The sequence below is a fragment of the Homo sapiens genome, chromosome 19 (assembly GCF_000001405.40).
Source record: "Homo sapiens chromosome 19, GRCh38.p14 Primary Assembly".
Classification (NCBI taxonomy): Eukaryota; Metazoa; Chordata; class Mammalia; order Primates; family Hominidae; genus Homo; species Homo sapiens.
In genome coordinates this window covers 38,767,956-38,784,497 of record NC_000019.10, presented here as the reverse complement: position 1 = coordinate 38,784,497, position 16,542 = coordinate 38,767,956, and the positions used below count along the sequence as shown (strand labels likewise).

The 16,542-nt window shown below is 51.6% G+C and overlaps 1 protein-coding gene across 1 annotated transcript, besides 1 other annotated feature; it reads left to right on the top strand.

The window, feature by feature from the left end:
- Positions 1-10,980: 10,980 nt before the first annotated feature.
- LGALS7 (galectin 7) lies at positions 10,981-13,530 on the top strand. Its single transcript, NM_002307.4, has 4 exons — positions 10,981-11,011; positions 11,395-11,483; positions 12,468-12,669; positions 13,359-13,530. Exons 1-4 carry the CDS (start codon positions 11,006-11,008, stop codon positions 13,470-13,472), a joined length of 411 nt encoding a protein of 136 aa, NP_002298.1. The 5' UTR covers positions 10,981-11,005; the 3' UTR covers positions 13,473-13,530.
- Positions 14,476-14,645: a silencer, noted in NCBI's record as "silent region_10583". NCBI's record gives its function as "represses an Ori minimal core promoter by ATAC-STARR-seq in GM12878 lymphoblastoid cells {active_cell/tissue: GM12878}" and the evidence as "EXISTENCE:reporter gene assay evidence [ECO:0000049][PMID:35858748]".

Here is a 16,542-nt window from a genome sequence, read left to right as displayed (position 1 = left end):
GTTTGCACATTAACTCTGTTATCAGCCCGAAGTCCTGACTCATTTCTGATAACAGATCTACGTCCTTGATGGGTTCTTTTTTTTTTTTCTTTTGAGATGGAGTCTCACTCTGTTGCCCAGGCTGGAGTGCAGTGGCTCAATCTCAGCTCTGCCTCCTGGGTTCAAGCGATTCTCTTGCCTTGGCCTACTTAGTAGCTGGGATTACAAGCATGCACCACCACTCTTGGCTGATTTTTGTATTTTTAGTAGAGATGGGGTTTCACCATGTTGGCCAGGCTGGTCTCGAACTCCTGACCTCAAGTGATCCACCCACCTCAGCTTTCAAAAGTGCTGGGATTACAGATGTGAACTACTGTGCCTAGCCAAGGGTCTGGCTATGTTGCCCAGGCTAGTCTGGAACCTGGGCTTAAGTGATCCTCCAACTTCTGGCCTCCCAAAGTACTGGGATTACAGGTGTGAGCCACCATGCCCTGTGGTTTTGGTTATTTTTTAAACACAGTGAAGATACTTCAGGGACTCCTTTGGTTTTATATATTAACATTCCAGTGATGAAAATGATACAGGTAAAAATCTTTTTAGTGAATTCTAACTGTTCCCACAGTTAAAGACATTTACCCACTATGTAACTAATTATATCTTTCCAAGTAATTTGGTAACCACCACTGAAGATTGGCTTACTCAGCTTCTAACTCACTCCCCAGCGGGCCCACCTTTTTTTTTTTTTTTTTTTTTTTTTTTTTGAGACAGGGCCTTAATCTATTGCCCAGGCAAGATCATCATGCACTGCAGCCTCAACCTCCTGGGCTGAAGCAATCCTCCTGCCTCAGCCGCCAAAGTGGCTGGGACTACAGGCATGTGACACCACCCCCAGTTAATTTTTTTTTTATTTTATTTTAGTAGAGCTGATGCCTCACTATGTGGCCCAGGCTGGTCTCAAACTCTGGAACTCAAGTATCCTCCTGCCTTGGCCTCCCAAAGTGCTGGGATTACAGGCGTGAACCTCCGCACCCAGCCTGGCCTGCTTTCTTGCATTAGGCAGTTAAAAACTACATTTCCCAGAGTTATTTGTAGCTAGATTCACATAGGACTGGGTTTCCCCAAGCTGAGTTTGCACCCCTGGAAAACTCTTTTTTTGAAGACATGCCCTCGTGGCCAGGTACTGTGGCTCACACCTGTAATCCTAGCACTTTGGAGGCTGAGGTGGGCAGTTTGCCTGAGCTCCAGAGTTCAAGACCAGCCTGGGCAACATGGCAAAACCCCGTCTCTACTAAAATACAAAAAATTAGCCTGGCATGGTGGCACGCACCTGTAATCCCAGCTACTGGGTAGGCTGAGGCACAAGAATCACTTGAATCCAGAAGGTGGAGGTTGCAGTGAGCAGAATTTGTGCCACTGCACTCCAGGCTGGGTGACAGAGCAAGACTGTCCAAAAAGAAAGAGAGAGAGAAGGAAGGAAGGAAGGGAGGGAGGGAGGGAGAGAGGGAGGGAAGGAGGGAAGAGAGAGAGAGATGAAAGAAAGAAAGAAAGAAAGAAAAAGAAAGAAAGAAGGAAAGAAAGAAAGAAAGAAAGAAAGAAGAAAGAAAGAAAGAAAGAAAGAAAGAAAGAAAGAAAGAAAGAAAGAAAGAAAGAAAGAAAGAAAGAAAGAGAAAGCCAGCCAGCCAAGAAAGAAGTGGTCTTGCTCTGTGGTTTTGCCCTGTCACCCAGCCTGGAGTGCAGTGGCACCATCATAGCCCACTGCAGCCTAGAACTCCCAGGCTGAAGCAATTTTCCTCAGTCTCTGGAGTAGTAGGTAGGACAACGGTTGTGTGCTACCACACTTGGCTAATTTTTTCTTTTCTTTTCTTTTCTTTTTTTTTTTTTGAGACGGAGTCTCGCTCTGTCGCCCAGGCTGGAGTGCAGTGGCGTGATCTGGGCTCCCTGCAAGCTCTGCCTCCTGGGTTCATGCCATTCTCTTGCCTCAGCCTCCCAACTAGCTGGGACTACAGGCGCCCGCCACAATGCCCGGCTAATTTTTTGTATTTTTTAGTAGAAACGGGGTTTTACCGTATTAGCTAGGATGTTCTCGATCTCCTGACCTCATGATCTGCCCGCCTCGGCCTCCCAAAGTGTTGGGATTACAGGCGTGAACCACCGCGCCTGACTCTTTTCTTTTTTTGAGACAGGATCTCACTCTGTCACCCCAGCTGGAGTGCAGTGGTGTGATCTCGCCTCACTGCAGCTTCAACAGCCCAGGTTCAAGCAATCCTCCTGCCTCAGCTTCCTAAGTAGCTGGGATTACAGGCATGTGCCACTGTGCCCGGCTTTTTTTTTTTTTTTTTTTTTTTTTTAGAGACAGGGTCTCACTGTGTTGCTCAGGCTGGTCTTGAACTCCTGGGCTCAAGCGATCTACCAGCCTCAGTTGCCCAAAGTGCTGGGATTACAGGTGTGAGCCCCCATGCCTGGCCCAAAACTGGCTCATTTTTAAATTTTTTTTTTTGTAGAGACAGGGTCTTCCTCTGCTGCCCAGGCTGGTCTCAAACTCCTGGCCTCAAGGAGTCTTCCCAGTTCAGCTTCCCAAAGTGCTGGGATTACAGGTATCAGCCACTGCACTCCACCACCTGCAAAACTTAGAAGGTGAAAATGAGGTAACACTTACGGGAGGGAGATGAGCCTTCTGGCTAGTTAGGTGATGGAGGTATTTATTTTTATCTAGAACAGCCTAGGAAGCTCTGGCCAGGGAATGCTCTCCGCATCCACCCTCTAGCTTTGCAGCACGGAAGCTTATTCCCTAGTCCTCTGAAAATTCTGTAAGCTATTGCCGGGCATGGTGGCTCATGTCTGTGATCCCAGCACTCTGGGAGGCCAAGGCGGGCGGATCACCTGAGGTTGGGAGTTCGAGACCAGCCTGACCAACATGAAGAAACCCCCTCTCTACTAAAAATACAAAATTATCTGGGTATGATGGCTCATGCCTGTAATCCCAGGTACTCGGGAGGCTGAGGCAGGAAAATTTCTTGAACCCAGGAGGCGGAGGTTGCAGTGAGCCAAGATCGTGCCATTGCACTCCAGCCTGGGTAACAAGAGCGAAACTCCGTCTCAAAAAAAAAAAAAAATTCTGTAAGCTGTCATAGCCGCTAATAATCTCTGTAAACTAGCGGAGGAGGGTTCTGTTGCCAGCAACCAGCAACCCCAACATGACAGTGGGAGAAGTGGCTGATACAGGCAGCAGAACTTAAAATGAGGGCGTGGCTGGAGGAGATAGAGGAGAGGCTGATAGGAAGGACTCCTGTATTGCAGGGTGGAAAGCCAGTGTCTCTTGCTACATGGTAACAAATTATCCACTCACACTGTCACCTGCTGTGCCTGGAAAGGCAGATTGCGGGCTGGCCAAGGCTGCAGCCTCAGAAAAATAGTAAAGATGTTTCAGAATGACAACGTTTTCTTGTTTCTTCCACTTTTGGAGAAGTCCTAAGAAGCAATCAAGAGCCTATGGACAGAAACAGAAGGAATTAATCCATCTGTCTTAAACAGGGGATTTTTTTTTTTAGTCAAGGTCTCTTTCTGACGCCCAGGCTGGTTGGAGCGCAGGATCTCGGCTCACTGCAACCAACCTCTGCCTCCCAGGTTCAAGTGATTCTCCTGCCTCAGTCTCCCGAGGAGCTGGGACTACAGGCGAGCACCACCACGCCTGGCTAATTTTTCTATTTTTAGTAGAGACAGGGTTTTGCCATGTTCTCAAACTTCTGACCTCAGGTGATCCACCCACCTCACCTCCAAAATGCTGGCATTACAGGCATGAGCCACCACGCCTGGTCATGTCCAGCTTTTTATTTCTTCTAGAGATGAGGGTCTTGCTATGTTGCCCAGGCTGGCCTTGAACTCGTGGTCTCAAACGATCCTCTTGCCTCAGCCTCTCACAGTGCTACAGGCGTGAGCCACTGCTCCCTACTAGGGGGTTCTATCTTGCTGCATACTATGAATCTTAATTGAATGAAGGTCCCATGTCTTTTTTTGACACAAGGTCTCGCTCTGTCACCCAGGCTGGATTGCAATGGCGTGATCTTGGCTCACTGCAACCTCCGCCTCCCGGGTTCAAGCGATTCTCCTGCGTTCAAGTGATTCTCCTGCCTCAGCTTCCAGAGTAGCTGAGATTACAGGCGTGCGTCACCACACCCGGCTAATTTTTTGTATTTTTAGTGGAGACAGGGTTTCCCCATGTTGGCCAGGCTGGTCGCAAATGCCTGACCTCAGGTGATCCGCCCACCTCAGCCTCCCAAAGTTCTGGGATTACAGATGTGAGCCACCACACCCGGCCATAGTTGGGAGTTTTGAAGAGTCAATGTCATATAAACCAAAAAGGGTGGATGATTGTTCCAAATTCAAAGAGAATGACAGGACAGCCAGATGAAATTTACCAGCCTTTACTGACTGCTGAATAAGGGAGGAAAGTGTGACATAAGTTACCCTTGGGACCCAGGCATTCTACTCCTAGGGATATGCCCAAGGGGAATAAAAACATGTTCGTGCTAAATATTTAAACAAAATGTTCGTAGAAGCGTTCATTATTCATAACAGCCAAACAGTGGAAACAACTCGAATGTCCTTTGCAGGGGAAAGAAAACTTTACCTCTCCCTCCTACGGTCTTCAGTGGGCTTGGGTATAAAACTACCATAAGAATGCCGGGCGCAGGGCTCACTCCTGTAATCCCAGCATTTTGGGAGGCCAAGGCGGGCGGATCACCTGAGGTCGGGAGTTTGAGACCAACCTGACCAACGTGGAGAAATCTTGTCTCTACTAAAAATACAAAATTAGCCGGGCATGGTGGTGCATGTCTGTAATCCCAGCTACTTGAGAGGCTGAGGCAGGAGAATCCCTTGAACCCAGGAGGCAGAGGTTGTTGCAATGACCCGAGATCACGCCATTGCACTCTGTCTAAAAAACAAACAAACAAAAACAAACAAACAAAAAAAAACTGGTATAAGAAGGCTCACGCCTGTAATCCCAGCATTTCGAGAGGCCGAGGCAGGTGGATCACCTGAGGTCAGGAGTTCAAGACCAGCCTGGCCAACATGGTGAAACCCCCGTCTCTACTAAAAATACAAAAAGTAGCCAGGCGCAGTGACACATGCCTGTAGTCCCAGCCACTCGGGAGGCTGAGGTGGGAGAATTGCTTGAACCTGGGAGGCGGAAGTTGCAGTGAGCCGAGATCACACCATTGCACTCCAGCCTGGTGGCAGAGAAGACTCTGTCTAAATAAATAAATAAATATGTTAAATTAAATAAAAATAAAAAGAGTCCAAACCTGCCCCACCAAATAACCCAATCCTCAAACCATTAGCTCACGCTAATGCCTCCACTTCCAGTCCAGCTCCACAGGGCTGGTGCCTACCTCTCCCTTTCCATATCTGTAACTCCCTCCCAGAAAAAAAAAGCAGTTCCAGTCCTCATCTCTGACTCCCACATGGCACCTCCCCCCGAGGCTGGTTCCAATGCCCCTCGTCGGGCACCCACCCCACACAGGTGTCCTCCTCCCATGCTGGGAGTGCAGGCTCCCTGTCACGTGTCCTGCTGGCCCTCACTGGGCACTTACGCGCAGCCTCTGCTGAGCGCTCCTCATCCTGCTCAGCCCTGACCCCCAAACACCTCTCCCAAGGACATCCCACCCCAATCAGCCCATTCAGGGCCACCATGACCTTGCTCAGCCCCACATAATAGCTTTAGGGCCCAATTGTTCAGCAAAGGAAGGAAAGGAAGGAAAGGAAGGAAAGGAAGGAAGAAGAAAAAGCTATGCATGTATTTTACTGTTTAAGCATTGAAATGTACAAGAATCACTAGGAAACTTACAAGAATTACTTGGATGAGTTTATAGAGCAATTGAAACACTGAAAAATGAATAACCTCTAAAATTATGCATTCAGTTTAAAATATTTAAGAGAGTTTAATTAACTAAGTTTATAAATGGAACTGAACACTAGAGAATAGACTTTTTCTTAGCGGTAATTGGATTGTTTTATTAATATTTACTATATTTATAAAAATAGAGTCGTGAGATTTCCAATGGGCATAAAAGCTTAAGAACAAAGTGAGTTTCTGGGGTTTTTTTGTTTTTGTTTTTGTTTTTTTGTTTGGTCTTTTTTTGATGGAGTCTTGCTCTGTCGCCCAGGCTCAAGTGCAGTGGTGCGATCACACACCACAACCTCCGTCTCCCGGGTTCAGGTGATTCTCCTGCTTCAGCCTCCCAAGTAGCTAGGATCACAGGTGTGTGCCACCACACCCAGCTAATATAGATATATATAATTTTTTGGTATTTTTAGTAGAGGCAGGGTTTCACTATGTTGGCCAGGCTGGTCTCAAATTCCTGACCTCAGGTGATCCACCGCCTTGGCCTCCCAAGGTGCTGGGATTACAGGGTGAACCACTGCGCCTGGCCAAGAACAAAGTGAGATTTCTTTCCTTTTTTTTTTTTTTTTTGAGAGGAAGTCTCGATCTTGTCCCCCAGGCTGGAGTGCAATGGCGTGATCTTGGCTCACTGCAACCTCTGCCTCCCAGGTTCAAGCGATTCTCCTGCCTCAGCCCCCCAAGTAGCTGGCATTACAGGTGCCTGCCACCATGCCCGGCTAATTTTTTCTATTTTTAGTAGAGACGGGGTTTCACCCTATTGGCCAGGCTGGTCTCGAACTCCTGACCTCAGGTGATCCGCCCGCCTCGGCCTCCCAAAGTGTTGGGATTATAGGCATGAGCCACCGTGCCCAGCCAAAGTGAGATTTCTAAGTGTCATTTTCATCATCAGAATGTTGATTTACAAAAAGCAGCCCCAGAATTACCTTCACTGTGTATAAAAAATAACCAAAATGTGACCAACAAATGACATTCATGGAGCCTGAATTTTAAATCTCTACAACCACCTAGTGTGCAATTAGCTACTTTTCATCTAAATTATTTCCTAAAAGAGGCATAAAGTAAGAAAAATCAGTCTACTCCCTCTTCTTTATTTTGAGACAAAAGAACCTCGGTGGCTAGTCAATGCTCAGCAGTGGCCAGGCCCAGTGGCTCATGCCTGTAATCCCAGCACTTTGGGAGGCTAAGGCAGGCAGATCGCTTGACTCCAGGAGTTCAACACCAGCCTAGGCAACATCGTAAAACCCTCTCTCTACAAAAAATACACAATTAGCCAGGCATGGTGGCGTGTGTCTGTAGCCCCAGCTACTCGGGAGGCTGAGGTGGTGAGCCCAGGAGGTTTAAGCTTGGAAGATTGAGGCTGCAGTGAGCGGAGACTGCACCACTGCACTCCAGCCTGGGTGACAGAGTGAGACCCCCATCTCAAAAACAAAACAAAACAAAACAAAACAAAAAAATGGTCAGGAGTGACACTGGCCAGTGGCTTCCTGGAACTAGAAGAGAGGCCACTATTTCCTGGACACCAGGAAACTTAATTGAGGAGGTGGTTAGATAGGTCTCCACAGTTCTCAAAATCAGTGAACTATACCTTTAATATCTGCATCTTTTATTTTATGGGAAGGATACCTTGATAGAAAGACTATTGAGAAATATATACATTTATTATTATTATTATTATTATTATTATTATTATATATACTTTTTGAGACAGAGTCTTGTTCTTTTTGCCCAGGCTAAAGCGCAATGGAGCTATCTTGGCTCACTACAATTTCTGCCTCCTGGGTTCAAGCAATTCTCCTGCCTCGGCCTCTCGAGTAGCTGGGAATGCAGGTGTGCACCACCACACCCGGCCTACATTAACTATTTAAAATTGAAAAAAGGTGACCAGGTGCGTTGGTTCACACTTGCAATCACAGCACTTTGGGAGGCTGAGGCAGGTGGATCACCTGAGGTCAGGAGTTCAAGGCCAGTCTGGCCAACATGGTGAAACCCCGTCTCTACTAAAAATACAAAAAGTAGCCAGGCGTGGTGGCAGGCACCTGAAATCCCAGCTACTTGGGAGGCTGAGGCAGGAGAATCACTTGAACCTGGAAGGCAGAGGTTGCAGTGAGCCAAGATCAAACCACTGCACTCCTGCCTGGGCAACAGAGCGAGACTCTGTCTCAAAAAACGAGAAAGAAAAAGAAAAAAGGCTCACGAAAATATTATTTCAGGCCAGGCGCAGTGGCTCACACCTGTAATCCCAACACTTTGGGAGGCCGAGGAGGGCAGATCACGAGGTCAGGAGTTCGAGACCAGCCTGACCAACATGGCGAAACCCTGTCTCTACTAAAAATACAAAAATTAGGCCAGGCGCGGTGGCTTATGCCTGTAATCCCAGCACTTTGGGAGGCCGAGGCGGGCGGATCATGAGGTCAGGAGACCGAGACCATCCTGGCTAATACAGTGAAACCCCGTCTCTACCAAAAATGCAAAAAATTAGCTGGGCGTGGTGGCGGGAGCCTGTAGTCCCAGCTACTCAGGAGGCTGAGGCAGGAGAATGGCGTGAACCAGGGAGGCGGAGCTTGCAGTGAGCCGAAATGGTGCCACTGCACTCCAGCCTGGGCGGCAGAGCAAGACTCTGTCTCAAAAAAAACCAAAAACAAACAAACAAAAAAATTAGCCAGGCATGTTGGTGGGTGCCTGTAATCCCAGCTACTCAGGAGGCTGAGGCCAAAGAATCACTTCAACCCGGGAGGTGGAGGTTGCAGCGAGCCGAGATCGCACCACTGCACTCCAGCCTGGGTGACAGGGTGAGCCTCTGTCTCAAAAAAAAAACAAAAGAAAAAAAAAACAAAAGAAAATATTGTTTCACAACTGATGAGAAACATAACCAACACTAATGAATAAGAGCCCATCGAGGATGCATATCTCAGTTACAGGAAAGGAGCCAGCCTTTTAGACTGGTAACAGATTGACTGCAACCATTTGACCAATCACTTAAGGCAAGTTGGGACTTGCACGTTGGTTGGGTGTGAAGTCATATCCAGCCACAGTGAAGAAATAGAAATAAATAAAAAGATGTTCTTGGGAAACAATAGCAAGGTACAGAATGATGTATCAAGTAATGTAAGGAGTGTCTTTTCTTTTTGTGGACTGAGGTCTCACTGTGTTGCCCAGGCTGGAGAGCTGTGGTGTGATCATAGCTCCCTGCAGCCTCTGATCTCCTGGGCTCAAGCAATTCTCCTGCCTCAGCCTCCCAAGTAGCTGGAATTACAGGCAGATGTGCGCCAACCCACTGGGCTATTTTATTTTATTTTTATTTTTTGTAGTGATGAGGTCTTGCTGTGTTGCCCAGGCGAGAGTGTCTTCTTTAGAATGGTCAATAATGTTAGAACAATGGAGTCCACCATTCAGGGGAACATTCTCGGGAACTAACTGAGCTGGGCTGGTGGTATGATCACCGGACACCCTGCTATCCTCTCTGTCCGTGCCCATGACATGTCCTTGGCACAAAGACCCCTCTGGAGCTGAGGGGCTGGCCTCTTCCTTGACTGAGAGGTGGCCCCTGTCTAAGCCTCAGTTTTGTCCTCTGCAGAATGGGGGTGCTTGCAGCCCCTACTGAAATGCAGCTGCTAGCCTCCCTCTCTGAGCTCATGTTCCCAAGAACTGGTCCCTGAGCTTGGTGCCTTGGAGTGTGTGGGGAGGGGGCGAGAGGCTGGGGGCCTGGGACGCAGAGGGTGGAGGATGGTTCTGGGTCTGCTGTCTCCACCCAAACTTTCCACTGCCAGCCTGCCTCTGCCCAGGCCTCTCAGCAGCCTGCTGGGTGGGGCAGGAGCTGGAGTGGCGAGTGGAAAAGGTCCAGGAGGGCTGCTGGGCTGCTAGGAGTGGTTTCTGCTCAGCTCCCACACCATCCCTGCCTTTCAGAAGCATCTTTCAGCCCTACCCGCCCCTCCACCAAGCCAATTCCCCAACCCTGAGTTCTCTTGCAGAGTCTTAGGCCCAAGGGGGCTGTTTCGGGCCTGGCGGGAGGGTCCCCGCCTTGCTCTGCTTTTGATCTAGGTGGTGATGGAATGCTAGGCCACCCACCACCCCAAAACCCACCTCATCCTGACCTACAAACTTGGTGGCATGATGGTAGCAGTCCTGGAAGGAGGAAGAAGAGAGACTTGAAGGAGAGAAGTGGGACAGGAATATGTGGTAGACAGAGTTAGGGGCAGAGACGGACAGAGTGAGACAGCCAGCCCCAGAGACAGAACCCACAGGAGAGGTGCGAGCAGAGGTGAGGAGAGCCAGAGGTCAGGGCAACGGGTCCTGCACGCTCCTGCCTTTGGCAAATCGCTTCCCATCCCAGCTTCAGCCTCCTCCTCTGTACAATGGGGGTGACCCATACTCCTCCCTGTTGGAATGATGGGGTCCCAATCAGTGATTTCCTGCATCTCCTGGGCAGCCGAGGGGCCTTGGAAATGACAGGCATAGTCCTAGTGGATCCCCTCCTTTCACCCCTCCTGACTGAGGACTTCCATGAACTGGGCACACTCCAGGACCCAGGGGTGCAGCGCTGAGGGGATCAGGCAGGCCCCCTGTGAACCCATGAAGCCACCCTGTCAGTCACTAGTGCTCCTATTGTGGCCGCTGTTCCATTACAGAGGCAGAAGCTTAGATTTCAGCACGGATCAGTCCAGGCAGGAGGTTCTCAGCTGGAGAGAAGGGTCTGGAGTTCCCACCCAGATTGGCCTCCCAGGACCTAATATGTCTGTGTATAAAATAAGAGAAATTACTAACAAATAAATACATGAAATGAGATAGAGGCTCTCCGTGTGCCAGGCAGCGGGAAGACAGGGGTGGAGGGGCAGTGGCACAAGGAGCCTTCTCTGCTGTGAGTTTATTACTATTAAACATTCCCTCTTATTATCAGCTCCTAGGAGAGGGGCAGTGCACCCGGGCCCTGGGTGATGGGGGGATCAGGGCCCCCAAGAAGAGGTGCCACTCCCGCTTCGCCGGGCTTGCCCCAGGGCCAGGGTCCGTGCCAGGTGTGGGTGGTGGGTGGGAAGGGGTGGGGTGAGTCATCAGGGCCAGCCCCGCCCTGCTTTTATTTAAGGTCCCCAGCAGGCCCCACCACCACGGCTGCCCAACCCGGTCCCAGCCATGTCCGTGAGTGCTCCAGGGGCCCGGGGCGGGGCCAAGCAGGGAGGGGGCTGGGGGCTCCTCTTTCAAAGGAGCAAGTGGGCAGTGAGTGTGCCACGGACTGGCCTGGGCTGTGGCCTCCGGGTAACCCCCATCCCGACTGTCCCCTCTACCTCTTTGTGGCTTCCTCTGGGGCCCTCTTTGAGGATCTTTCTGTTTGTCTTTGTTGCTCTCCCCATCTGTTTCCCTGTCTGTTTCTGGTCTCTTTCCTGCCTCTCCGCCACCCTTTCCTCTTCCACTGATTTCTGCCAGTCTCAGCCCTGGTCGGCTCCTCTGAGGGGTGACCCACCTTCTGCCTCCCTCCTTCGGTCTCACCGGCTCACAGTGGCCCCTGCACCCCACTCTTGCAGAACGTCCCCCACAAGTCCTCACTGCCCGAGGGCATCCGCCCTGGCACGGTGCTGAGAATTCGCGGCTTGGTTCCTCCCAATGCCAGCAGGTGAGGCCCCAGGCCCTAGGGGTAAAGGGTACAGGTCTCAGGATCAGCTGACTCCCAATTTTTGCAGTCCAGAAGTAGGGGCCCGAGGCCACCTGTATCCACCAGGCTAGGAGTCCGAGGCCATTTCTGACCTCAAATCTGATGTATTCGTATTTGCCCCCGTGCCTTTGTGGCTGGGGTCCCTAAGTTTCCCTAAGCATTTGAGGTCCCTGGGTAATCTCAGGGTTCCTAGATATAGTCCTATGACTTCCATGTCTGAGTCCCAGGGAACTCTGGAAATACTCCAAGTCCTGGAGACACCCTGGACCCTGGGAGTCCTTGCCAAGCCATCCTTTGACTTCCTGGCTAAGGAACTTCGGGCCTTCTGGATTCTGAGGTACCCTGGAAATACTGGGGTTCCTGGTATTATTCTTTGTCCTGTAGAAGCTGAGGGTTCCCTGAGCATCAGGAGCACCCTGGCTATCACCCAGACCTCCTGGGCAGCTCCCAGGCTCTTTGGAAATGAGGGCACCCTGCCCTAAGCGTAGTGAGTTTGGTCTGGGTAGGTTTCTGCCAAGGGCCTCATGATATTTTGGCTGCCTTGGGAATCTAAGCTCCCTGGTCATTAGTCGCCTACCTCTCCTTCTGCGGTGTGTGCCTGTCTTCAGGTCCCTGTTAATTTGGGGGTACTCTGGGAATGGGGAGTGCCAGTCCATAAGACCTTCACTTTGGTCTGGGCGGTTTATGTTTTGTTTGTTCTTTCGTTTTTTTGTAAGGTGGGGTCTCGCTATGTTGCCCAGGCTGGTCTTTAACTTCCGGGCCCAAGCGATCCTCCCTTCTCCACCTCCCAGAGTGCTGGGATTACAGGGTGAGCCACTGCACCCAGCCAACATTTCATTTACTTATTCATTCAAAGTAAATTGTAGACATCGGTATTCCTCACCCTCAACATTTCTTGGTCTGGGTGGTTTCTGAGCCCTGACGGCCACCATCCTCCTCTTCCAGGTTCCATGTAAACCTGCTGTGCGGGGAGGAGCAGGGCTCCGATGCCGCGCTGCATTTCAACCCCCGGCTGGACACGTCGGAGGTGGTCTTCAACAGCAAGGAGCAAGGCTCCTGGGGCCGCGAGGAGCGCGGGCCGGGCGTTCCTTTCCAGCGCGGGCAGCCCTTCGAGGTGCTCATCATCGCGTCAGACGACGGCTTCAAGGTGCGTCTCTGCGACAGGGGCGTGGACGCCAAGACTTAGGTCCCTGGAGCAGAGGGTTGGGCAAAGCCAGGCTATTGGTGGAAGGCAGGGAGGTTCGGGGCGGGGTGAGGGGGGTAGGGAAGTCGTGGCCAAGGCGGAGAAGGGTGTCCTTCGACCCTCTCTCTCGCCTAAACAACTCCCACTTGGGTCCGAGGGACAGAGAGACAGCAGGGTCAGGACGAGGCGAGCACCAGCCAAGTGTCCAAGGGGTGGGCGTCCTAGCGGGAAGGCGTGGCCCAGACTCGCCATCCCAGACCCTACTCCCAGTTCATTCCTTCCTGAGGTCCGGGGTTTGAGGCATGGGGAGGGATGGGTTGGAAACAGCGCCCAGGAACTCGTCCTAGCAAGGATTGGCGGGTGGGAGTGGCGGCAGATCCTCCACCACCCACAGCTTACGCGAATTCACCTCCCTCCTCTGCGCTTTAATAGCGGGTAATGGTCGCTGAAATGAGAATATCCATTACCAGCACTAAAAAAGCCTCTTTTTACTGTGCCACACAGTCAACTCGTTTGATCCTCACGCAAGAGTTAGAATGAACAATAGCCCCATTTTCCCAGTGAGGAAACTGAGGCCCAGAGGGGATGAGTGATTTCCCCAGGGCCACCCAGCACGGGCCTCCGGAATCCTCACCACCGACCCTCCCCTGCAGGCCGTGGTTGGGGACGCCCAGTACCACCACTTCCGCCACCGCCTGCCGCTGGCGCGCGTGCGCCTGGTGGAGGTGGGCGGGGACGTGCAGCTGGACTCCGTGAGGATCTTCTGAGCAGAAGCCCAGGCGGGCCCGGGGCCTTGGCTGGCAAATAAAGCGTTAGCCCGCAGCGCGACTGTGTCTGTGTCCCATTCACTGAGATGAGCAAACTGAGACCCAGAGAGGCCAAGATACTGGCTCCGGGCCACACAGCGAATCCGAGGCGGAGGCGGGCTCTGAGCCTGCCTGTGCTTAGGACACTTTCTGTCTGCGAAGGCGTGAGGGTCGCGATCTGGGAAGGAGTGGGTGTGGGGCGTGCCCTGACGCAGCATTTGTGCAAAGCAAGCCAGCTGGGAATGCGGTCGGGCGGACCTGCTGGCGTTTGGGGCGCAGAGGCGCTCACCGCAGGTCCTGGTGCCCCCACTGCAGATCTAAGGGGCGCCAACATGGGTCCATCTGCAAAGGGGGCGAATGAGTCCCACCTTTCTGGTCATTTGTGGGCCCCAATCCTACGGGTGGAAAGCGTGTTATAAGATCCCGGGTCCCTGGGTCCCGTATCCCCCTGCAGCTCATCTCTCCCACCCTCTTCTCTCCTGGCCTCCCGCCCCTAGAGACGTCCCAGGTGGGGCTGGGAAGCCCGACGGGCGTCTCCGGGCTCCCGCTGTTCCCCGAGTCGGGACAGGTACCCGCCTGCGCACCCTCGGGGCAGACGCGATGGCAGCGGCCCCGGCTCTGCGGAGCAGCTGGGAGGACTCGAAGGGCGGCGCGGGATTTCCGTGGCGCAGCGAGCCCCATTCCCACGCGCCCTCCGCTCTCCCCGACGGCCCCGACCGCGGCCCTAGCCCTGGTCACTGTGACGGGAGGGGAAGCGGACGCCAAGTGCAGCCCCGGCCCCAGTGTGACTTTCAGGGTTCAGGGCGTCGCTGGGGCTCCCCTTAATGGCGGGGTTGGGGTGGGAGAGGCTGGGAGCACTGTGAGCCCCGAGCCCGCACCCTCGGCGAGGCACCCTGCAGCGACCGCGGGCCTTAGCCGGGGACAGAGAAGCCACGCCAGGGCTGTGATCGGAAGCTGCACGTGGGTGCTCGGGACCGGCTGTTCCGGAACCTTCGTCCGGATCCACGCCTTGGTGGGCGCGCCCAGGCTTGGGCCTGGATCCCCGCCCTTGAGCTTCCGTCCCCCTGGCGGCCGCCGCCGTCATTGCTGCCTGGACCAAGGCGGATGCAGGAAGCTGGGGTGGTTCCTGGCCTGGCCTGAATCTGATTCTGGTGTCTGGTGGGGACGCCAGGTTCGCCGCGGGGCCCAGGCGCGTTCAGGACCTGGGGTTTTCTGCCCCTGCGACCCTCGGGCTGGGCAGTCTCTTCCCGCGTCCTGCCCTGGAGTGGGTGGGCGGTAGTCAGGAGGGAGCCCTGCTCAGGTGAGGAGGCCTGGGAGAGGCCGGATTCTTTTAGTCCTCCGGGGCTCCTGCTTGAATGAGTTAGCTCTTATTTCATTTGGCTGTGACGAGTGGTTTCAACATACTATTTTTTTTTTCGTAAAGATAACATATACATGTGGTACACATTTCAAAACATACAGTGAAATGAACATATTATTGGCACAAGTGGTGAATGTGGTTGGGCCTTCGGATTAGATGGTAGCGATTCAGCCGTGTTAATGTCCCGATTTTCACCGTGCCTTACAGTGTGCACGTGGGAACCTGTCCCTGTTTGTGGAAAACATAGTTAGGTATTTGGAGATGCAACATGTTTGCGATTTTTTCTCAAATGGTTCACCGAGAATGGAGATTTGGAGCTGGGCGCGATGCCTCAGGCCTGTAATCCCAGCACTTTGGAAGGCTGATGTCGGAGCATCGCTTGAGGCCAGGTGTATGAGACCAGCCTTGATAATATAGCAACAGCCCGATCGCTACAAAAAATTTAAATATATAACAAATGGAGATTTATACTGTTATTTTTGTGTGTTTGTCATTTATAAATATACGTGTATATATGTATATGCACATATATGTACACATACATCTATCCTCTTTACTGGGAGAATACTGCTGTTTCCCTGGTCTTCATTTCATGTGTATCTTTCAGAAAATCCCCTGTGGACCTCTGCACATATGCACGGGTAGTTTCTTCCCCTCCATGCATAAATGGTAGCACCCTCCACCCACTGGACGGTTTTCATGGCTTAGGAACGTGAGTCCCAGCAGCATTCCCTGAGTTCCTACTATGTGTAGCCGCTGCGCTAACCATTCCTTCAATCCCCGAAACAACCTTCTGAAGGAGATCCTCTATGCATAGTTTCCTAATGAGGAATTTGGTGCCCACGAAGGTTGAGTGAATTGGTTTAAGATCACACATCAAGTAGATGGTGGACCCAAGTGAATGCGATTCCTCTCCTTGGGGTCTTAGCCTCTGGAAATTACATTTTGTTTGCTTTCATTTATTACTTTATACATATGTGTGTGTGTGTGTGTGCGTGTGTGTGTGTGTTTGTGTATATGTATATGTGTATATGTGTGTGTATATATGTATATACATATATATATATCCGTTTTTGTTTTTTTTTTTTTTTTTGAGACAGAGTCTCGCTCTATTGCCCAGGCTGGAATGCAGTGGCGCAATCTTGGCTCACTGCAACCTCCACTTCCTGGGTTCAAGCGATTCTCCTGTCTCAGCCTCCCGAGTAGTTGGGATTACAGGTGTGTGCCACCATGCCCAGCTAATTTTTGTATTTTTAGTAGAAATGGGGTTTCACCATGTTGGTCAGGCTGGTCTCGAACTCCTGACCTCAGGTGATCCACCCACCTCAGCCTCCCAAAGTGCAGGGATTACAGATGTGAGCCACTGCACCCAGCCACTTTTTATATATTTTCAAAGACAACGTCTTGCTCTGTCTCACCCAGGCTGGAGCATAGGGGCATGATCCCAGCTCACTGAAGCCTCGACCTCCAAGGCTCAAGCGATCCTCCTGACTCAGCCTCCAGAGTACCTGGGACTACAGGCACGCACCACCGTTCCTGGCTAATTAAAAAAAAAAATTTTTTTTTAAGGACAGGGTCACTCAACCTCTGTAGGCATCAAATTCCTCATTGGGAAGTTTCCCAATTGGGAACTCAAGGAAGGGTTGGCACAGTGGCTAGACACAGTAGGAA

Coding starts and splice junctions, on each gene's coding strand:
- LGALS7 (NM_002307.4), top strand. Junction 11,484..12,467: donor GTTCCTCCCAATGCCAGCAG/GTGAGGCCCCAG, acceptor CTCCTCTTCCAG/GTTCCATGTAAACCTGCTGT. Junction 12,670..13,358: donor CGTCAGACGACGGCTTCAAG/GTGCGTCTCTGC, acceptor CCTCCCCTGCAG/GCCGTGGTTGGGGACGCCCA.